This window comes from Homo sapiens, chromosome 1 (genome assembly GCF_000001405.40).
Source record: "Homo sapiens chromosome 1, GRCh38.p14 Primary Assembly".
NCBI lineage: Eukaryota > Metazoa > Chordata > Mammalia > Primates > Hominidae > Homo > Homo sapiens.
Window position 1 is genome coordinate 30,013,594 of NC_000001.11, and position 24,019 is coordinate 30,037,612.

The following is a 24,019-nucleotide window of genomic DNA, read 5'->3' on the forward strand; positions in this document are numbered from 1 at the left end:
GTCCAGCCCTATGTGACACAGAGTCTGCTTCTACACTGAGGGGGAGCCCGCCCCGCACCTAGACTGCTCCAGGCCAAGCGCCACTTTGGAGCATGGAAGGGGGAAGGGAGGGGAGGCTCCTGAGTGCTGGGGATGCCCAGGCAGTGCAGAGGGAGCACAGGCCCTACTGTGGGAGTCAGAGGCTTAGGGCTAAGGCTCTGAATGGGATTCCATTGCCTCCAGATTAAGGCCAGCTCCTCCTCTGACCAGCTGTGTGAACGAGTCCACTGTGCCCTCTGTTACCAGGAGTCATGACAGTGCCTACTCCAAGGGAATGTGGTCAGGACGAAATGAGACATTGATTCCAAAGTGCAAAGCCTGGTGCTTAATAACTGCTCATTGTTGCTGTAAATGAGCTTGGGGATATAGCCTTATCCCATGATCCTCTTCCACCATGTTCTTAACAACACTTTGAACAGATGGCATCACCCCAGTTGACAGATGAGGAATCCAAGACTGGAGCAGAGAAGGAGGCTGCCCAAGGCCACATGCAGTCCCATGGCAGAAGACAGAGTTTCCAGCCCTAGGCAGACTCATCCACCCACCCTGCTCTCTCCCCGAGCTGAAAAATGCTGCCATCTCTCAGTTGTTCTCAGCATGTTCTTCTCAAATGGCATCTGATCCACATCCCCTGAGGTTGCACTTTGGCAGAGGAAACTTGCAGTCAGGGCCTGGCTCCATCAGAGCAGGTGCATGGGCCTCAGTTCAGAAGAGAGTTGGGCTCAGACGGTTCCAGAGGCTCCAGATGGCTCCAGGAGCCCTTGAGGGCTCAGAGCTAAAATCTGGCCCTGGCCTGACTCCTGCATCTGCCCTTGAAACTTAACACAACTCCAGAGGAGGGACTTCTGGGGCAAGGAGAGCTTGGGGTGACTCAGGACTTCAGATACATTTTCAATGGAAAGACCAGGAAGAAACGATGTCAGAGAAAAGCCCACATGGCTTTGCCTGTGTGCTGAGAATGATATTATCACTAACTACTGACTCTTGCCAAGCCCTTGGTCCGTGCAAGCCACTGTGCTGTGAACACTTGGTGTGTACTATCCCCCATGAGAGCCCATTGAGATAGACTCAATGTTTATGCCCATTTAACAGATGAGGAGGCTGAGGCCTGCCCAAGGGCTCAAACCCGGGGCCAGAAGGAGGTGAAGCTGGGATTGAAACCCAGGCCCATTGTCCTGAGGATGAACTGTCACTTTCTTACTTAAGCACCCAGTATAGAGATGCCAGTTGGAACTTCCTCACAGTGAGTAGCAGCAAATTGAATCTAGAGTCCACTGGGGAGGACACCCATTTTCTGGAGAGCTCCTGAGTCCGGAGGATGATCAGAGGTGAGCTCAGAAGGGCATAAAGGAGTCAGGGGTCCACCACTCATTCCCTCCCCTACCCTCAAGAGCTCTTCCTTCATCTTAAAAGGCAGGAAAAGCCTGAGTCCAGCACCTGGGTGACCTCGCCTGACTCAGCCCATGGGTGCAGATGCAAAGGAAAGGATCTAGAGTGTGTGCCTTGGGGACAGGGCAGCCTAGCAGTTAGGAACACTGGCATTGGAGTCTCATGGAAGAGTTTGAGCTCCAGCTCTGTGATTGACAAGCTGTGCATCGTTAAACAACTTACCTTACCTCTCTGTGCCCACATTTCCTCACCTGTGAAATGGCATTGAGGATATCTGTAAGGAATTACAAATAAGGAAATTAAACAAGTAGAGCTAATATTAAATAAGGAAATAAAAACAAATAGAGCTAATATTATAAAATGTGTACTTTGTGCCAGGCACTATTCTGAATGCTTTAAACTGAATTAGTAGATGCTGAGATATGGATGGCAATAGAGGCAGGCTGAAGCCATGGTCTATCCTCTGCAAAATTGTGCCAAAATGAGGGGACAGTACTTAGAGCAGGCCAGGAATATCCTAAAATCAGCATTTCTCCATGTTTGGTCTGCACACAACCTTTCATCAGAGTCACCTGGGAAGAGAAGGGCAGTGGTAAGGTGGGAGGTGTCTACCTGAATTACAGATTCCTTGGCCCTGTCTGATACAGAATCAGAATCACTGGGACCTAGGGATCAGCATGTTGAATAGACATATCGACTCTTGGCCAGGTGATTCTTAAGCCTCCTGAAGATTTGGACTCAGGGACTGAGTGTGCAATGAAAGTGGTTATGAGTTTATGTCACAAATTTCAAGGCCAAACAGCCAGAGCCCTCGGTTCTAGAGCAAGCCCTGCCACAAACAAGCCACAGCACCAATGAGGGCATCCACATTCCCTTGTCTCAGTTTTTCTGCACATATAACACGGATTCTGCTCCCCACACCACCCAGCTCATGGGACACACATGAGTGTGAAGGAGCTGGCGACTGTGGGTATGGGCTGGTAACTGTGCAGGAGGCCCTGAGTCACCCTGACCCAAGATTTAATTCTAGCTCTGCCATTGATGTCATTTTAATTTCCTTGTTGTTTTTTTACTATATTTTAAAATTATTATTATTATTATTATGGAGATGGAGTCTTGCTCTGTTGCCAGACTGGAGTGCAGTGGCACAATCTCAGCTCACTGCAAATCTCTGCCTCCCGGGTTCAAGCAATTCCCCTGCCTCAGCCTCCCGAGTAACTGGGACTGCAGGTGCGCACCACCACGCCTGGCTAATTTTTTGTACTTTAGTAGAGACGGGGTTTCACCACGTTGGCCAGGATGGTCTCGATCTCCTGACCTTGTGATCCAACCGCCTCGGCCTCCCAAAGTGCTGGGATTACAGGTGTGAGCCACTGTACCTGGCCAAAATTATTTTTTAGTGGTTGCCTTGGAGATTATAATGAACAGAGTAGTTTAAAACAATTTAGCTCAGATTAATACCAATTTCATTTCAATAGTGTACAAAAACTTTGCTCTCAGGAAGCTCCATTACCTCTCCCTTCCTTTGTGCTATTACTGTCATGCAAATTATCTTCATACATTAGAATCCTACCAACACAGATTTATAATTACTGCATTGTTTCAGTTCTTTAAAATCAGATGAGAATAAAAGAGTTACATGAAATGCATTTACATTGTCTTTTACACTTACCGTTTAGAGATACCTTTTATATTTACCTTTTAGAGATATCTTTACTGGTGCTCTTGTTTTCTTCCTGTGGATTCCAGTTACCGTCCTTTCAAAGTCCTTTCATTTTAGCCTGATGCACTCTCTTTGGTACTCCTTGTAGATAGAGCGTCTCTGCTAGTGACAGATTCTCTCCGTTTTTGCTTATCTGGAACATCTTAATTTTTCCTTCTGTTTTGAAAGATAGTTTCCCTGGATATAGAATTTTTTTATGTAAATACAAATGAGTTTATTACTATAACTTTAAATGAAGTAATAAGTGTATGTTTTTAAATTCCCAGTTTTAATTTTTAATATGGTATATATTGATAGATATGACCCACCCACATTGACAAAAGGTCGTCAGTGATTTTTTTTAATTTGGTGCCCTCTCTTCTTTAATTAATTAATTATTTTTTATTTTGCTTTAAGTTCTGGGATACGTGTGCTGAATGTGCAGGTTTGTTACATTGGTATACATGTGCCATGGTGGTTTGCTGCACCTATCAACCCGTCATCTAGGTTTTAAGCCCCACATGCATTCATCTACAACCATCTGGTCTTCAACAAACCTGACAAAAACAAGCAATGGGGAAAGGATTCCCTATTTAATAAATGGTGCTGGGGAAACTGGCTAGCCATATGCAGAAAACAGAAACTAGACCCCTTCCTTACACCATATACAAAAATTAACTCAAGATGGATTAAAGACTTAAATGTAAAACCTAAAATCATAAAAACCCTAGAAGAAAACCTAGGCAATACCATTCAGGACATAGGCATGGGGAAAGACTTCATGGATACAGAATTCTTGATTCATTTTTTTTTTCTTTGAGCACTTTGTATCTGTTACCCTACTGCCTTCTGGCCTTTATGGTTTCTGATGAGAAGTGCCAGCATTAATCTTATTGAGACTTTCTCATATATAAGCAGGAGTCATTTCTCTCCTGCTGCTTTCAAGATACTCTCTTTGTCTTGGTCTTTTTGACAATTTGACTATGTGTGTCTAGTGTGTATTTCTTTGCATTTATCCTACACAGAGTTTGTTGAGCTTCTTGGGTTTGTAGGTTGATGTTTTCTTCAAATTTGGGAAATTTGCAGCCATTATTTCCTAACAATGTCTGTTTTTCTCTTTGCTCTCATTCTGGAAGTCCCATTATGTGTATGTTGGTATGCTTGATAGTGCCATATAAGCTTCTGAGCTTCTGTTGTTTTTCTTTTTTTCTATCTATTCCTCAGGATGAGCAATCTCTTACTACTTATTTTCATGTTCACTATTTTTTTTCTTCTACCACCAACTCACATCTATTATTGAGTCACTATTGAAATATCCATTTCAGTTGTTGTAGCTTCCAGCTTCAGGATTTCCATTTGACTATTTTAAAATGTAATTTCTATCTCACTATTTGGAGAAACATTGTTTGCAGACTGTCTACTAATTATTTGGACATGGTTTCTTTTTGTTGTCTGGATGTATTTATAATAGCTATCTTAAAGTCTTTGTCTAGTAAGTCCAAACTCTGAGCTTTCTCAAGGATGGTTTCTATTGACTACTTTTTTTTTTTTAACCTGCGTATGGGTTGTATTCTTCTTTCTTTGCATGCCTTGTAAAATTTTTCTGTTGAAACTGGACACCTTAAATAATCTAATGGGACAACATATGAAATCAGATTTCTAATGCCCTCCTTGGACTTTGTTGTTGCTGTTCCTGCTGCTGCTTCTCTGTTGAGTGGCTTTCTTGAACTTAGTCATTAAAGTCTGTATTTCTTATTATGTGTGGTGGCTGAATTCTCCACTCAGGTAACTTAGTGGTCTATGATTCGACAGAGATTTCCTCAAATACCTTGAACCAATAATCTCTCACTCTTTGCCAAAAGGCCCTGTGTGATTTCAGGACACACCTTCCACATTCTAGTAGTTTACAATTCTGCCTTGACCCCACACTTCCTGCTTGCACAGGGCCTCAAGGTCAGCCAGAGATGAAAGAGGAGAGCTTTCACGGGTCTTTCCTGGGTGTAGGCTCAGCCCTGTACATGCACAAGGACTTCTGGAGCCCCAGGAATATGCTGACACTTTTCAATGCCCCCTACCTATGGATATTTAACTTTCCAGATCCTCCTTTTAAGTTTCTTGGCCAGCATATTGTTTGCTTCAACTGGTATTACTGTCTTCTCTGCTGCAAGGATAAACAATTTCTGCTGATTGTTTTTAGCAAACACCCTGAAGATAGGGCTTTCCCCAGTGAGTGACCTCTGAGTTAGGTCAAATAATGATAAGCCTTGTAATGGGGCTTATCCAGTGAGCTGCCAAACAGAGAAAATGGTGACAGTTCTCTGGGTCTTTGGAGGAGCACCCAAACTGGTCTTCCCTCTCCAGCAGCTGCTATGCTGCTGGTGCTCACAGCTACAATGGCTGCTAAGTTGTTGCTTTTCAAGGCTACTACACAGGAGGAGCAGAACAGGGTAAGTTAAACCACCACAGAACTCTCTGTTCTTACTGAGATTCAGTAGTTGTTCTTGAACAGACGCTCCTTGGATTGTTGCAAGCCTTTGATTAATTTCCAGACTTTCTGAACAAGTTGATTTTGACAATTTTACCAGTGTTCTTGTTTCTTTCATAGAGGAGCAGAATGTTTAAAGGCCCTTCCTCTGCCATTCCAGAATTCCTACCTTAAAGGCAGCTATTTGTGCTATTACTTTTTATAATAGCTTTATTGATGTATAATTCACATATCATAAAAATCACCCATTTACAATGTACAATTCAATGGTATTTAGTATATCACAGATATGTGCAACCATTACCACCATCAGTTTTAGAACATTTTTATCACCTGATAAAAAAATCCCATACCCTTTAGCTATCAAACCTTTATTCTTCCATCCCCCAAGCCCCAAGATTAGATAACCACTAATCTATTATGTGTCTGTATAGATTTCCATCTTCTTGACATTTTATATAATGGAATCATGTAATATGTGGTCTTTTGTAACTAGCTTCTTTTACTTAGCATAATGTTTTCAAAGTTTCTTCAAGTTGTAACATGTATTAATACTTCATTCCTTTTTATGTTCAAATAATGTTCTTTTCTATGGTTAAACGTTTTGTTTATCCATTAGTCAGTTAATGGGCATTTGGGTTGTATCTACCTTTTGGCTATTATGGGTAGGCCACTGTAAGCATTTGTGTACAATTTTTGTGTGGACATATGTTTTCATTTATCTTGGGCTCATATCAAGGAGTAAAATTGATGGGTTTTATTGTAACTCTATGTTTAACACTTTCATGAATTGCCAGAATGTTTTCCAAAATGGCTACACCTTCTACATTCCCACCAGCACTGTATAAGGATTCTAATTTCTCCACATCCTTGACACTTGTGACACTTTTTAGATTCATCTGATTTTTCTAGTAGGTATGAAGTAGTATCTCATTGTGGTATTGAATTGCATTTCCCTGATGACTAATGATGTGGGGCACCTATTCATGTGCTTACTGGCTATTTGTATATCTTTTTTTTTTTTTGAGGCAGAGTCTTACTCTGTCACCCAGGCTGGAGTGCAGTGGTGCAATCTCGGCTCACTGCAAGCTCTGCCTCCCGGGTTCATGCCATTCTCCTGCCTCAGCCTCCCGAGTAGCTAGGACTACAGGCGCCCGCACCATGCCCAGCTAATTTTTCGTATTTTTAGTAGAGACAGGGTTCACTGTGTTAGCCAAGATGGTCTCACTCTCCTGACCTTGTGATCTGCCCGCCTCGGCCTCCCAAAGTGCTGGGATTACAGGCGTGAGCCACCGTGCCTGGCCTGTATATCTTCTTTGGATAAATATATATTCAAATCCTTTGCCCATTTTAATTGAATTATTTGTATTTTTATTGTTGAGTTATAAGAGTTTTTATATAATCTGTCCTAGACATATGTTTAGCAAATCTGTCATATATATATATAATATATATATATATCTGTCATAGATATATGTTTAGCAAACACATAAGATATACATTTAGCAAACACATTGCCCCAGTCTTTGGCTTGTCTTTTAAGTTTCTTGGCAGTATCCCTTGATGTACAAATGTTTTTAATTTTTATTGAGTTGTTTACCTATTTTGCTTTAATAACTCATGCTTTAGGTGTCATATCTAAGAATTCATTGCCAAATCTGAGGTCATGTGGATTTACCTGTATGTATTCTTCTAAGAGTTGTATAGGTTTAGCTCTTAATTATGCGTGAGCCATTTTGAATTATTTTTCATATATAGCCTAGGGTACAAGTTCAACTTCATTCCTTTGCAGATGGCTATCCAGTTGTCATAGTACCATTTGTTGGAAAACAGTTCTTTTCCCCATTGATTTTTCTCAGCATGCTTGTCAGAAATTAGTTGACTATAGACACATGGGTTTATGTATTAGTCGGTTCTCACATTGCTATAGGGACATACCCAAGACTGGGTAATTTATAAAGAAAAAAAGTTTAATGGATTCACAGTTCCATATGGCTGGGGAGGCCTCACAATCATGGCAGAAGGCAAAGGAAGAGCAAAGGCATGCCTTACATGTTGGCAGGCAAGAGAGCATGTTCAAGGGAACTGCCCTTTATAAAACCATCAGATCTCACGAGACTTACTCACTATCATGAGAACAGCGCAGGAAAAACCAACCCCCATGAGTCAATTACCTCCTACCAGGTCCTTCCCATGACATGTGGGGATCATGGGAGCTACAATTCAAGATGAGATTTGGGTGGGGACTCAGTCAAACCGTATCAGTTTATTGCTGGATTCTCAATTCTCTTCCATTAATCTATATGTTCTTATGCCAGTTCCATGCTGTCTTTATTACCATTGTAATGTAATAAGTTTTAACATCAGAAAATGTCAGTTCTCCTGCTTGTTCCTCTTTTCCAAGATTGTTTTGGCTACTCTGGGCCACTTGCAATTCCACATGTATTCTAGGATCAGCTTGTTAATTGTTACAAAGAAGTCAGCTGAGATGCTAACAGAGATTGTAGTTAATCAACAGATCAATTTGAAAGTATCGCCATCTTAACAATATTGAGTTTTCTAATACACATATATGGAATGTTTTTTCATTAATTTATATCTCCTTTAATTTCCTTCAAAAATGTTTTGTAATTTTCAGAGTATGGGTTTTACACTTTTGTTAAATGTATTCCTAAATGTTTTACTCTTTTTGATACTGTTGTAAACAATTTTTGATGCTGTTGTAAACATAATTGTTTTTGAAATTTTATTTTTAGATTGTTCATTGCAAGTGTGTAGAAATATAATTGATTTTTATATATGAATCTTCTATCCTGTAATCTTGCTGAACTCATTTATTAGTTCTAGCAAATATTTAGTGGATTTCTTAGGACTTTCTATTTACAAGATAATGTCAGCTCTAACTAAAGATAACTTAACTTTTTTTTTTCCAATCTGGATTTCTTTTATTTCTTTTTCTTGCCTAATTGTCTTGGCTAGAACTTCTAGTTCAATGTTGAATAGAAGTGGGTATGCCCATAGTCACCCTGGGGTTACTGTGGTTTTTGCAAGACTCTCTTTAACTATCTCTTTCTCTGACTATACCCAGTTCTTAAGCTCCACTAATTGCCAGTTGATTGCTCTGTCATTTTCAACAATACGCTGGAGCAGAAATTGCTTCACAGGCAAATTCCAGTCAAATTTAGGCTTCTTTCAAGGTATAGTTCCAAATCAGCATCTGAGATTTGTTCGGCCCCCAGGGGGGTGTCTTCCCACCTGTCTCTTCCCCTAATTCTCTCTGGCAAAATAGCTGGACCCCAGTTTAACCTATGTCTCCAATTAACCTATCATTCTCTTCTCAGTTGCCTTTCACCACAACTTCTCCTGATTTTGACAGTTCCCTTAGATTTGAACTTCCCCACACTCTGTTGCAAATTAAGTCAGTTCTTTGGAGATTTACTTGGTGCTTTCTATTCTTTGCCTAGCTTCCACCTCTGAGAAAAATCTCTCAGCCTCAGCTCTGGTGCTGAGGTTGGGGACAATGGCATTCATCTCTCTCAGTGACATTCCCTCTTTAGGATCTGGGTGTTTAGTAGACAAAACAATAGCAACACCAGGTGTCTTGGGCTCATCTCTCTCAGTCTGGGACCCTCACTTCATGACCCTGAGACAAGTGCAATCAGGGCCTCTTATTCTCAGTGACACTGCACCCAGGGTAGAGCCTTGGTCCCACAGGTTGAGGCTGGGCAGAAGACAGGAACTTCCACCTCTTGGCTGCAGTTGCCTGGAACTCAGTCTTAGCAATCAGTAGCTGGAGCAGGATGAGAAATGTTGACATTCTGCCTCTCCTTGGAAGATAGGTCTCTAACTGGGAGCTGCAGGGAGAGGAAGTTCTGTGTTTTGGATTTACCAATCTTGAGTGAAATTTTTATCTTGTGGAGCTGGGAAGGAGTGGGAAAAATATGGATCTTGGTTCAAATATTACAGAGTCTAGCAGTTCTTATCAATTTTCAGTAGATTTTCTTGAACGCATGCTTCTTCATTTACTATATGGTCATTTCTAGGCACTTAAGTTTTTTTTTTTTCCAGTAATTTTCACCTGTTTCATAGAAGGTAGGGATTGAAGAGCTCCTCACACTGTTGGGCCAGAAGTGAAAACCCTTTGTTATTACTTTTCCACTTTTTCAGGGTTCCCACTGAAAGATGCTATCATCCACTGAGTCACCCAGACAAGCACACTTGGTGTGGGAGTCTTTGGTTTTGCTCACTTAGCATCTCATGACTTGACCTATCCCAATATGTGGTAGGATTGATTTCCTGGTCCTCAAGCTGGCTGGGACTAGTTAGGTAACTAGCTCTGGCTTATTCATTTTGAGTGGAAATGACATGTTTCAATTCAGGGTCAGAGCCTTTGATGTGGATGTGAGACATGCCACCACCATAGCCAACCTCCAGAGTTGTTTATCCCTCTGCCCTGGTGACAGTCAACTTTATAGACTGCAGTGACTTCATCAGCCTGGCACCCTGAGGGGTGGCACATGGAGCAGAGACACAGCTGACCCTTGACGGATATGCAGACTGGGAAAGAAATGACCCTGTGTTTTTTTAAGCCACCGAGGTGTGGGGATTGTTTGTTATTGCAGCAGAGTCTCACATATCCTCACTCATACATCCATGGAATCTGTAAAATTACTTCTCATCCAAACAGATAGAGCCACATCTCTCTGGGAAAAAAACAGAGCTTGCTGTTGCCAAGTGATGTTAAGCCTCATCACTTCTCTGGGTTCCTAGAGAAGCCCCTTACTAATCACCTGCTTCTAGTCTTGCTCCTTTCCGTCTGCTTTTCTCACCAACCATATTAGTAACTACCCTAAAGCCCCAGTGTCTAATGTCCATGCCACAACTGGGCTGCTATAGCCCTCTATGCATATCCTTATTAGGGCACTTAATACACTGTATTGTGGAAAAGTTAATTTATTCAAAATGTTTATGTTCTGGGCGCTGTGTTAGGGGCTGGAGTTACAGTGGTGAAAAAAAGTCAGGGTACTTGCCATCATGAAGGGATGTTCTGGAAACTGAGACCAAATGTTGGCTGCTGTATGATTGGTTTCCCCATACTTATCACAGTGGTTGTGACAATATTTTGGAAAACCAATTAAAGCAATCAGTTTCCCTGCCTGTTTCTGAACCAATCCAGAGGATTCAGGGCATGTTAGATGAAAATGAACCTCCCGTTTATTACTGATGAAGCTATTGCTGGAGAATGGAGCTCACCCATGCAGGCATGTGAACCCCCCTGTGGACCCCCTGGAACTAGACAGGGAGAAACCCATCATCAGAGGTGTGCTGACCACCCCCACCCAGGTCCCCCATGGTTGGGGTGTGAAGACTGTTGCTATAAAACCTCTGGCAGTGGGAGAGCAGGGCAGACATGAGCTCCCTGGGCAGCCAGACCCAAGGCACAGTGAGAAGGATGGGCCCGGGGAGCCTGTTCTGCTTTGCCTCAAACTTGTCACCTTTGGTAGAGGTGGTAGGGGGCTACAGAGCTGAGGTGTCAGGGGAGACCACTCCAGGGGAAATAAAAATGGAGAAATCTTATCCCCAACTCTAAATAACAAAATAACAGTGTGACCACTCATGGAGCATTACTCAATGCTGTCACAGCTGGCTGTCACCAACTGACAGAGGAGGAAGCTGAGGCTTATACAAGTTATCTCACTGGCCTGAACCCCTGGGAAGTGGGGAGTCAGGAAGTGAACTCAAGTATGAACCAAAGCCCTTGTTCTTAACCGCCCCTGACAGTGACCACACCAGGCTCCGGACTCAGCCAGTCTCACCTGAGCTTCCTGGGACAGCTCACTCAGGGCTGGCCAGCTGTGTGACCATTAGAAAGTGCTTCTTCTCTTCGAATTCAAAACTGCCTCTGGTGGATTCTACCAAGTGGTTCTTCTTTTGCCCTCTGGAGCTACAGAGAGTTAGTCTAATCTCTTTAGTAACTGCAAAATAAATTTAATAAAAACTCTATTAATTTGTGTAATCTTGTACACAGGATGCAACATTTCTGTGCTTCAGAAATTTTGTTCATAACTACTAGCACCATGGAAATTTCAGGGATTAGAGACTCGGCTGGAAATAAGACAGATTATGTCACCAAGAGTTCAAATGAACCAAAGCCCCTGCACAACAAGACAGGCTTGGATTTACATAAAATTTAGGAGGCAAGTCCAGGCCCTTTAATTCCATACGGACTTACAGTGACTTTCTAGGGTTTGCTTAGGTAACTCAAAAGCAGGAAGATTTGAGGTATTTGTTGTTTGTTTATTTTTGTTTTTGTTTTTTTAAAAAGCCATTACTAACATTATACTCAATGGTGAAAAACTGAAAGTTTTTTTTAGTCTAAGATCAGGAAAAACAGAAAAGAAAAGGATGCCTACTTTCACCACCTCTATTCAACATAATACTGAAAGTCTTAGTCAAAACAATCAGGCAAGAAAAAGAAATAAAAGTCACCCAAATTGGAAAATAAGAAATAAAATTATTTCTGTTCACAGATGTCATGATCATATATGTAGAAAATTCTAAAGATCACACACACACACGCACTCACACACACACACACACACACATGCAGAAGCTGTTAAAGCTAATAAACAAATTCAGCAAAGTTGTAGGATACAAAATCAACACAAAAAATCACTTGCATTTTCTATACACTAACAGTGTAACAGTGAGTGATCCAAAAAGAAAATTAAAAAGACAATACATTTACTATAGCAAATGATTCATTTACAATAAAAAATTAAAGTACTTAGGAATTAGCTTAACCAAGAAGGTTAAAGACTTGTACATTGAAAACTAAAAAACACTGCTGAAAGAAATTAAAGAAGGCACACATAAATGGAAAGATACCCCATGTTCATAGATAGGAATGCTTAACATTGTTTAGATGTCAATGCTGCTCAACTTGATCTACAGATTTAATGCAATCCCCAACCAAATCCTAATGATTAAGTGATTTTTTTTTTTTTGTCGAAATAGAAAAACTCATCCTGAAATTTGTGTGGAATCTCAAGGAACTCCAAATAGCCAAAAACAATCTTGAAAAAGAAGAATGAAGCTGGAAGTCTCACACTTTCTGATTTCAAAAACTTATTACAAAGTTACAGTAATAAAAACAGTGTGGTTTTGGCAAAAAGACAGACATAGAGGCCAATGATGTACAACAGAGGGCCTAGAAATAAGCCCTCACATATATGGTTAAATGATTTCAACAATAGTGCCAAGACCATTCAATGAGGAAAGGACAACCTTTTCAACAAATGGCATTGGGAAAACTGGATATCCACATGCAAAATAATTAAGTAGGACTCTTATCTTATACTGTATATAAAAATTAATTTAACATGGACCAAAGACTGAAATGTAAGAGCTAAAACTGTAAAACCCTTAGAAAAAAATACAGGGAAAAATCTTTATGACATTGGATTTGGCAATGACTTCTTGGAAAGGACACCAACAACATAGATGAAAAATGGAAAAAAATAATACATTTAGCCTCATTTTTCCATTAAAATCTTTTGTGTATCAAAGGACACAATCAACAAAGTAAAAAGGCAATCCACAGAATGGAAGGAAATATTTGCAAATTAATTTCTGATATGGGAATAATATCCAGATTACATAAAGAACACCTACAATTCAACAATAGCAACAACATTAAAAATGAGCAAAGGACTTAAATATACTTTTCCCCAAATAAGATATATGAGTGGTTAATAAGCACATGAAAAAAGGCTCAACATCACTATCACTAAAAATTGGGGAAATGAAAATCAAAACCACAATGAGATACCACTTTACATTCATTGTGATGGCTATGATATTTAAAAACAAAAAGAAAAAAAAGAAAACAACATGTGTTGGTGAGGATGTGGAGAAATAGGAACCCTTGGGCATTGCTGGTGGGAATGTTAAATGGGATAGCCACTATGGAAAACAGCATGATGATTGCTAAGAAAACATTAAGCATAGAATTTGATCCAGGAATTCCACTTCTGGGTATATACCCAAAAGAACTGAAAGCAGTTGAACAGATATTTGCACAACAAGGTTCATGGAAGCATTATTCACAATAGCCAGAGATGGAAACAACCCAATTGTTCATAGACGGATGGATGGATAAACAAAATGTGGTACCTACATACGATGGGATATTATTCAGTCTTTGAAAGTAATGAAATTCTGACACTTGCTACAATGTGGATGAGCCTTGAAGACATATGTTAAGTGAAATATGTCAGACACAAAAGGGCAAGCATTGTATAATTCTACTTGCATGAAATATCTGAAAAAGTCAAACTCATTGAGACAGCAAGTAGCATGGTGGTTACCACAGGCTGGAGGGAGGGAAGAATGGAGAGTTATTGTTTAATGGATACAAAGTTTCAGTGTGGGATTGTTCTTGGACTGCCTGGTAGTGTCTCCCCAAAATTCATATGCTGAAATCTTTACCCCCAGTGGACTGGCATTAAGAGGTGGGACCTTTGGGAGGTGATTAGGTTTAGATGAGGTCTTGAGAGTGGAGCCCCCATGATAAAATTAGAGTCTTTTAAAGAAGAGAAAGAGGTTAGCGTTCTCTCTCTGCCATGTGAAGACACAACACAAAGACAGCTGTCTATGAACAAGGAAGACAGTCCTCACCAGACACCATATCTGCAGGTTCCTTGATCTTGGACTTCTCAGCTTCAGAACTCTGATAAATAAATGTTTGTTTTTAGGCTATCCATTCTGTACTATTGTGTTACAGTAGCCTGAACTAAGATAGAGATGATGAAAAAGTTTTGAGATGGAGAAGTGGTGATGGTTACACAACAATGCTTAATGCCACTGAACTGTGCACTTTAAAATGGTAAAAATGGTAAATTTTATGTTATGTGTATTTTACCACAATTAAACATGTAAAATACATACATAAATTTACATTTAAGAAACAATATACAGAAAAAAATGTATTAAGTGTCTGTGTTGGAAGGATTCTTAGGAATCATCTAAGCTTATCCCACTTTCCAGATTGAACATTTATGCACTACTATCACCCCCTCACCTCTACTCTCTACCTCCGGGGAAGCAGAGAGGACATGCTTGCTCAAGGACCTGCAGCCAATCCACAGGACTGGAATACAGCCTTTCTGACACTTCTGCCAGTGACCTTCCCACCACACAGACTCATCAGGGAAGCAGGGAACACCATATTAGCAATAGCAGACCTTTCTTCTCATATGCCTGTGTGGTCCACAAGAAACAGTGGGATGTGGGTGATGAAGCAGGGCCTGAATCTCCCAACCTCTCTTTCACTCCCCAGCTCACATGTGGCAGCACACACATCACTATTTCCCATCACATGCCCATGACAGACATGATTAATTGATTACAATACCTGCCCCATTAAGTCTGACCTGACCTCACAATCTTAACTCAGTACCGGAGTTGACACATGGATGAAACATGTCTACTTTCCTGGGTCTTCATAAACTGCATCCATCACCAGGAGAAGAAGGATGTAGAATGAATTTTCTCATTTCTTTCCAAAATTGTTATCAGATATCTGTTATAAACTTTACCCACATTACCTCAGTAATCCCCTCAATGAAGGCAAGTGATCCTGCTTTACACATGGGAAAACTGAGACTCAGAGAGACAAATATACTGCCAGCCTGTTAGTCATTCACAGAGCTGAAGGTGAAACCCAGGACTGTCTGACTTTAGCACCAACATTTGGAGGAGCTGGAGAGTCTCTAATGCTGGTCTAGGAAGTAGGTTCTCTTTCACAAGCTAATGTTGCTTTGTTGGTTGTGTCTTGTTGATTGATGTGTTGCCTTGACAAGGAGTTTGGGGCTGAATTCAGGATCAGAAAGAAGAGTGCTGTGATTGATTGGTGATGTCTGCCACAGGAGTGCAGAGCAGGACAGAAGTGTCACATGCATGCTGTTCGAGCTGAAGTCTCACACATGCCAAAGCCCAGTGTATGAGAACGTGCTGGGTCCCACATCAGGACTTGTCCCTGGGGTGGTGCAGGGTACATGTGAGCACTGTCTGCTCTTACCTATGATGGATGGCCATGCAGGCTTGTTCAGCTCTCGAGTGCTGGTCCTCCAATTCTCTGTTCTGCTCCCAGGGGACACAGCCTTGCCCACTTTCCTGGGTTGGTGCTGGGATTGAAAGAGGTAATGGATAGAAGACGATGTCCAGGTGAAAATGTTGATGAAGACACATTCATATTTTATTCCTCTCCCTCAAAACCCACCTAAAACAACAACAACACAAATGCAAAAGGGTATGTTTTTATTATGACTTATACTAGAAATTTCATCCACACAATCTGAAACATATCTACCAAGTACTAAAAAATCTATACCAGAACAAATGAAGAAGCTGAGAATGGACGTGAACATCCTCAGGCCTTGAGTACCAGCCAGTTTCATTAAAATAAAGGATCTTCGACTTGAGAAGTTTGTCCAAAAATCCTTAGCTTAAAGTGCTGAGACCCAGAAAGGCCCCCTAGGGACTGGAGGTCATCCCTGGGGAGACCCAGTTGGATGCTGCAGGTCTGCAGAGAGGTTGAGCTTAAGGAAAAGCCACACTGATGTGCCACTTCCCAGGCCCAACCCTACCTACCCAAGGAGCTTCCAGAGGCTAAGTAGGGAGAGGGAGAACAAGGGCCCAGCCAGCCCTGGGAATAGTCCCTAGAGGTAGTGACTTAAACAGCTTGGCTGAGGCCATGCTGACCTCTGGGATGTCAAACACAGAGCTCTGCTCCCACTGCAAAGAAAATAACTGCTGTGGTCAGAGTGTCTAAGACAACAAACTCAAATGGAAGCTGCTAACCACCTGAGCCCATCTTTCCCATCCCTTCCCATACTATCATCCCACACAGAGCTGGCCCCATCCAGAAATGGGTTAAAAAGAAACGGATTCAGGAACTATGAATAGATGCTGTAAAAAAAAAAAAGAGAGAAAAAACATAAAGACAGATGAAGAAAATAAACTATAAGAGGAACTGCCCAAAGAATCAGGGGAAGACATGAGAAAAATTGTTTTCCATAGTATTAAGAAATAACAGACAATGTGATATCTCTTAAAAAAAATAAAATGGATTGAAATAAGAGCTATAAAATAACAGCACAACGTTAAACCAAACTGTCTGTGCATAGGTATGAAATGGAATAGAGAAAAAGAAACAGGAGAGATGAAAGCTACATTCAAAACACCAAAAAGGAATAGGCATAATTAAAATACTGTAAGGAATATTGTGAACAAGTTAGAAGTAACTAGAAAAGAACTTTGTTTCTTTTCCAAATTAGGAAGACGGTGATAGAGTTGCAAGACAAAGACTTTCAAACATATGGGTATCCAGTGATGCAAATGGCACAACATAATCTAAGAAATAATGCAAGAAAAAAATCCTAAAATTCAAACAAATGAACAAAAATTCCTGAATCTGTAGATTAAAAGTGTACAACATCTTTTACAGAGAAAAGCTGATAAAAATATGTCAAGCAGATTGGCATGATACAACTGAGATTCAAAACTAGTCTCATTGGTCAAGCCACAATGATGGGGGGAAATTAGTTTGGTGCAAACTTATCCACAGCAACTCCAAAAGGTGGTAGAACAACATCTACCAACATCTGAAGGCAAGAAAATAGAACCCTATAATTTAATACCCAATCAAGTTGATTTTCCAGGTGTGATGGCAATAGATATTGTCTCAATTGTGCCAGGACACAAGAAATAACCTTCCTGACTCTTGAAAAATACTACTAACAAACCCATTAAAAAATATAAAGAACTCAGGTAAGACAAGGCCAGCAGAGTGTGTGGTGGGGGACAGAAGGAAGAGAAGGAGGAGGAGGAAAAAAAGAGGATTCGTGCTGAGTATTGAATCCATATAAATGTATAGAAAAGTCTAAGCTTAAAGAGCCACAACTGTGGTTTCAGAAGAGCATGAAAAAGTATGACTTTGACACAATATGACAAAATCAGAAGGTGGTAGAATGAAGGGTGAGAAGAAGTATAGGTGTGCTAATTTCCTAATCATTTTTTACCCAGGCATTATCACATTCAGTAAAAAAAAAATTAATCAGTAGTTATTTCAAAATCATGACCATAATGCCTTAATGCTTTTCAAAATGTTTTCTGCATAATTATTCAAGGATATGTTATTGTGAAGCAGAATTCATCTGAAGCTTGTAATTCCTTCAATTTTATCACAATTTACATTTCTTCTCTGAAATTCAAAGAAACATATGATCCTATATATTTTTCTGTCAGTCCATCTCCTCTGTAACATCCTGTTTATGCTCATGGAGATATGCCTGGAATTTGCTCACCAAGAGTTTATCACAGTTGTTTCTGGGTCTTGGAGATGTTTATTTTACTTTTCTGTATTGTTCCATATTTCTTGAATATTTACAGTGTATATTTCCCACTTTTCCAGAAAAAAAATCCTTATTTTTTAATTAAAATAGGAATAGAAGTGTCAACTGTTGCACACCTGTGAGGCTTATATGTTAATTATGCCTCCCTCCATTCCTGTAAGCCATTGAGGCAGCTTACCAAAAATACACATAATGCAAAATTACAATATAAATCGCTGGAAACGGGAGGAAAGAGAGATTGTGGGTGAAATAAGCACACAGAAATGCATGCCATTTATTCCCATTGCTGGAGCTTAGCCATGGACCTGGCCTTGGGCTTCCAAGTTGCTGAAACAAAGAAATGAAACCAGCCCAACTGTCCCATAGAAGTGATGTTTATGGTTTCTTTTGAATAAACATAGAAATTTACCCTCCCTGTCTTAAAACCTGAGAAAGTTACATTTGTTTTTTTTTTTTTCTTTCTTTCTCTTTGGGACAGAGTCTCATTCTATTACCCAGGCTGGCGTGCAGTGGCACAATCTTGGTTCACTGCAACCTGCACCTCCTGGGTTCAAGTGATTCTCGTGCCTCAGCCTCCTGAGTAGCTGGAATTACAGGCGTGTCTGCATTTGTCTTATCTGAGTTGCTTTCTCAGGAAACCAACCATCAGGGCCCCCAGATAGTATCAAGGAGCTGAAATTCACCAGATAACTGAAGCTGGACAATGAGGTGCCAGACCTCTCACCCCTTATGATTGCCTAACCCACTGCCTGCTTCCTCTTGACCAACTCCTCTTCCTTACTCCTAAGTCCTGTTTTCCACATGTAGTTGCATTTCTCCCCAGCTACATAAATCCCTAACTTTAGTTGGTTGAGGAGATGGCTTTGAGACTGATCTCCATCTCCTCAGCTGTAGCACCTGAATAAAGCCTTCTTCCCTGGCAATACTTAACTCAGTGATGGGCTTTCTGTGCAGTGAGCAATAGGACCTTAGCCAAAGCCCTGGCATTTTGGTAAGAAAAAGAACAACGTTCTTTTTATAAATTATTATTTTTTAAATTGATGCATAATAGGCATACATCATTTCAGGGTACATGTGATAATAAGACATTCATATAATTTGTAAATATCAAATTGATGTACTTGGGCTATCCATTACCTTAAATATTTATCTATTCTTCATGCCAGAAACATTCAAATTATTCTTTCAGCTATTTTGACATGTATGATAAATTATTCTAAACTGTACTCACCCTATTTCTCTGACACTAAGTCTTATTTCTTCTATCAAACTATATATTTGTACCAATTAATCAACTTCTCTTCATCCACCCCTCCCCATATTCTTCCCAGCCTCTGGTAACCACCAATCTACTATCTTCATGCGATCCACTTTTTTTAGCTCCCACGTGTGAGTGAGAACATGCAATATTTGTCTTTCTGTGCCTGGCTTAGTTTAACATAATGCCTCCAGTTCCATCCATGTTGCTGCAAATGATAGGATTTCATTCTTTATTATGGCTGAATAATACTCCATTGTGTGTGCGTGCCACACTTTCCTTATCCATTCATCCATTGATGGGCACTTAGGTTGATTTCATAGTTTGACTATTGTGAATAGTGCTGCCATAAACATGGGCATGCAGATATCTTTTCAATGTATTGACTTATGGGACTGTCAGTGTCCAGCACCCAGATGGGCTCTCTCTGCCCTTTGATGCCCCTTGCTGGCCTAGGGAGAGGCTGCAGTTTCTCACTGGCACATCCTCAAGGCTGATCTCAGCCCCTGCAGTCCCAGACTATTTATTCCACCTTCTCTTACAAGCTCTGTTTTCCCCAGTGACTCAGACCCAGTTTCTACCTCAGCGCAGTTCCTTGAGCCTAGCTTTAGGGCAGACGGGCTGACTGCTGGGCCTGCCCTTCCTCCAGTACCACTGGACATGCTCTGCTGTGTTTCCTACTGCCTCAGGCTCAGTCACCATGAGCCAGCTCTGCCCCTCTGAAGCTTGCAGAGCCTGTGAGGGTCTCTACCTGCTTCCGCAGGTGTGTCCAAGAGGCAGGCTTGGGCTCAGCACCTCTGGAGGGACTTGGTTTTGTGTCCTAACCTGGGGTGATTTGAAGGCAGAACCTGACACAAGGGCTTGGGAAGGGTTCCTAGGAAGCAAAAATGAGGGGTGTGGGGAATAAGACAGAGGAGGGTATGACTGGGCCTCAATCTCACTGGTGACTCTGAGGAACCCATGCTGAATGCACCTCAGGACAGTCCACTGAGGGACCGGAGCTGGCGGTGTTAATCCCTTGCTTGGGAGTTGGATGTCCATAGGAGCTCCAGATGGCTCCACAGGAGGGCTGAGCCAGCTCCCACAGCCCCAGAAGAAGCCTTCAGGCCAGAAGGCCGGGGACAGTAAGCCCTTGAGGTGGGCCGCTACCTGCTGGCCTGAGAACTCACCACTGCAGCTGCAGGTGACCTCAGAAGTGGCCGAGGATGGAATTAACCTTGGCCTTGGGAACAGAAGTTTCCCTTTCCACTCCCAGTACTCCCCTCCCCATCTTGGAGACAATTCATTTTTTAGTGTCTTGGTCCCTTGGTAGCTTGCTTAGGAGCTTGACAATAGTCTCTCCTATCCCCTTCCTAGCTGTGTGTCCTTGGACAAGTTCCTCAACCTCTCTGAGTCTTCATTTCTTCATCTGTTTGTTTTTTTTTTTAAATAAAAGAGTAATAAAAGAACCTCCCTCAGAAGGTTGTTATGAGGATAAAGGGACACAGCAAGTGCCCAAAAGACGGGCTCTGGCACTGGTATCGCAGCTGTGGCAGCTTCAGGGGACTGAGGTGCCATCAGACTCTATGAGGCAGTCACAGCACCTCCTCTCCTGGGCGCTTGCCCCTCTGAGGTCCTCCTGACGGCCGCCCGGTGGCCTGTCCTCGGCCGGGCTTGGGAGACAGGCCCTGTCGAGCGTCCCCCTTGTTCCCAGGCCCACGTCTGCTCCTGCTTCTCAGCATCCTTGTGCCCTCACTCCTGCCTCCGCTGCATCCTGACAGCGTTTAGTGGTTGTCACTCTTCTCCCAGATTGTGTCATGCTTGGCAGAAATCCAAGCTGGCGTTTTGACAAAAAGGGAGAACTCTGCAAAAATCCACAGGGAGATGTCAGGGAGCTCAGTGAGACACCGCCATGATCCATCACAGGGTGCCCGGCCTGGGAGAGACCCGGGGGGGAGGGAAGACACGGCACAGTCTGGACAGCGAGACCCGTGTGGCACCACCCCACCCCCATCTGTCAGTCCTAGTGATGGACGAGGGCCACCCACCCCTGCTATGTGTGGGTATTTCCTCCCATCTAACCCCACACCCCACTGAGAGGCGGGTAACACGGCTCTTCCTGTTGCACGGGTAAGGAATGCACCTCCTCGAGGCCATGAGACTCGCCCGAGGTGTCACAGCTCCGATGTGCTAGACTCGACCATGGAGCACATCTGCCCTCGGGACCCAGTGGCCAGAACCCTCAGCCACACAAGGGTTATGGCGGCCTCAGTCCTCCTGTGGCTTCCACATTCCAAAGCAGTTTCCCACCCAACCACACACTCACTCAATCTGCATCACAATCATGTGAGATACCAGGCAGGATGGTCACGCCCATTTGTCAGATGAAGTAACTGAGGCCCAGGGAGGTGAAGCGACTTACCTGGAGCCACCCAGGGCATTGGGGTTAGTGGTGGAGGCAGAACTAGAGGCCCAGTCACAGGGCTTGTGAGCACTGGAGAGAAGCTGAAGGCAGGGACACAGATGTGAATCAGGGAGGGCTTCCTGAAAGAGGTGGGCTGAGAGGCTGGCTTAGGAGGCCTGAAACGATGAGGCCTGCTGAGAAAGGGCAGGCCTGATGAGGGGCAAGGCGAGCTCAGATACAAATGCCAAGAGGAAAGAAGGCTGCTTTCTGTGTGGACAATGCAGATGATCTGGGATCCTCCAGGGGCCTGAGTCAGGGCCAAGGTTTTAGATGACAGCTGAGACCCTCGAGGGACTTGTCTATCCTGAAGCATGTTCTGTCTGCAAATAGGTTATTCAGATACCCTCACGTAACACTCGTAACACTCGCTGTGTGCCTGGCACCCCCAAGCAGCTCTGTAGCTGATTTATACTGCACCTCAGGCTGTGAGATAGGGACTCTTGTTAATGTCTGACTTACAGGTGAGGTCACTGGCCCCAGGTCCCAGGTCCCACGGCCCTGAGTTGTGAAGCCAGAGTCTGTGTGGCCACAATGCTACCTTGCGGCTGCGTGCAATGGCCACTCCCCTGCCCTTCCCCTCCCCTCCCCTCCTGGGAGGTCATATAAAGGAAGATTCCACCCAGGTAGCCATGTATGGTCATCCAGAAGTGTCCAACATCAGCTCAGCCACCACACCTGGCCACACTTGAGTCAGGGGCACAGGGCTGTCTGGGGAGATTGGAGATTGAGCATGTGGAGATGTGTTCAAGCCCTGGCTTAGCCCTGTAATGGCTGTGTGACCTCAGGCGAGCCACTTAACCTCTCTGGGCTGCCCTGTCCTCCTGGGTCCTGCTTCCCACCCAGTGCCATGAGATGTTCAAGTAGATAAGAATGCATTTTACAAAACTGAGAGAGATTATTGTGAGCCCGTGGGCATCACTGTCAACATGAGGATCTCCTCCTGTCCTTGAGCAATCCCTGGGCTCAGCAAGAAGCTCTTTCCTCCCCTGGCACAGTTTTTCCTGAACTAGATCTCCCAGCAGGCACATAAGCGACAGCTAAGATTGACTTGATGTTGTCAATATTCCTCCCACTGTTTGCCATCTCAGCATCCCTGGGGAACCTGGGGACTCAGCAAGAAAAATCCCTGGCTGACTCTGAGAGCTCCGATTCTCACCAGGCCCTCGGGTTTCGTAAAAATTTGGAATGCCATAGCTGGGTCTGCCGTTGGACTTTATCCAGCCCAATTCCTTTACTGAGTGATGGGGAAACTGAGTCCTGAGGGTGTGAACAGCAGCAGAGGACTATTCACAACAGCTGTTAATAGTCCCATAATCTGTAACTGCAAATAGTCCCATCATCTGTAACTTCCCATCTGTTAATAGTCCCATCATCTGTAACTGCAGGACTATTAACAGCTGTAACCTGCAGTTACAGATGATGGGAAGAAAATGCAACACAACTGACCTCACAAAGAGGGAGGCAGAGTCCATGCAGAGCTCTTGCTTCAGGAATGGTTGCAGCAGCTCCAGCCTTCACATCTCAGGCTCAATTCCAGAGTGAAAGATTCAGTGTCTTTGTCCTTCCATCTCCAGCAGTTTTGCTGCATCTCATTGGCTCTTACTGGGCTATGTGACCTCCCTGAACCAAAAGATTCTGGGTCACCTGAGTCTACCATGCCTGCACTCATCAGATGCACCTGGGAGGTTGTTTAAAACACAGATTTCTTAGCTCTGCCTTAGAGATTCTCTTTAGGTCTGGGCTGGGGATTGGAAACCCAGGGGAATTAGTCACTGGTTCCCATTTGGGCTTTCCAAAACAACAGCAAGCAAGTCATTGCCAGCTTGCTGTGTGGCCTGGAGCAAGTCACTCTCCCTTCTCTGGGCTCCAGGTGCCTCCCCTGCACAATCTTTAGAGTTAACTGTATGAGCTAAAGGATTTCTTTCCAGTGCTCCAATTTTGTTCCCCCAGTCTATGCCTATGAAGTACTTTATAGATGAGGAAATTGAGGCCCAAAGTGAGAGGCAGAGGTGGAGTCCCAGTCCAGGTGTATCTGGCTCCAAAGACGGGTATTGCTCCCCCAACTAGGCCACCCCCCAGGGCTTCTCAGTTTCCTGCCTTCCCACCCCTGCCCTGTGCCATCCATTAGGGTCACTCTGTGACATCATCTCTCCCAATCAGAAAGGCCCTTACCCTGGGTTCGACCCAGTCACGGCCAGTGAGACCTCCAGCTCCCAGTACCAGTCATTTTAACAGCTGAGGCTCCGGGTGCTTTGCTCTGGTTCCTGCTGGCCTATGTGGAGTCTGT

General features: G+C 42.9%; 1 long non-coding RNA gene across 1 annotated transcript; it reads right to left on the reverse strand.

Moving 5' to 3' along the window:
• Window positions 1-358: 358 nt before the first annotated feature.
• On the reverse strand, window positions 359-24,019 carry LINC01648 (long intergenic non-protein coding RNA 1648). Its single transcript, NR_110790.1, has 7 exons — window positions 23,905-24,019; window positions 23,179-23,410; window positions 15,697-15,897; window positions 11,432-11,590; window positions 3,127-3,328; window positions 1,651-1,702; window positions 359-916 (listed from the first exon to the last, which is right to left on the reverse strand). It is a non-coding gene; the product is annotated as a long intergenic non-protein coding RNA 1648 (long non-coding RNA).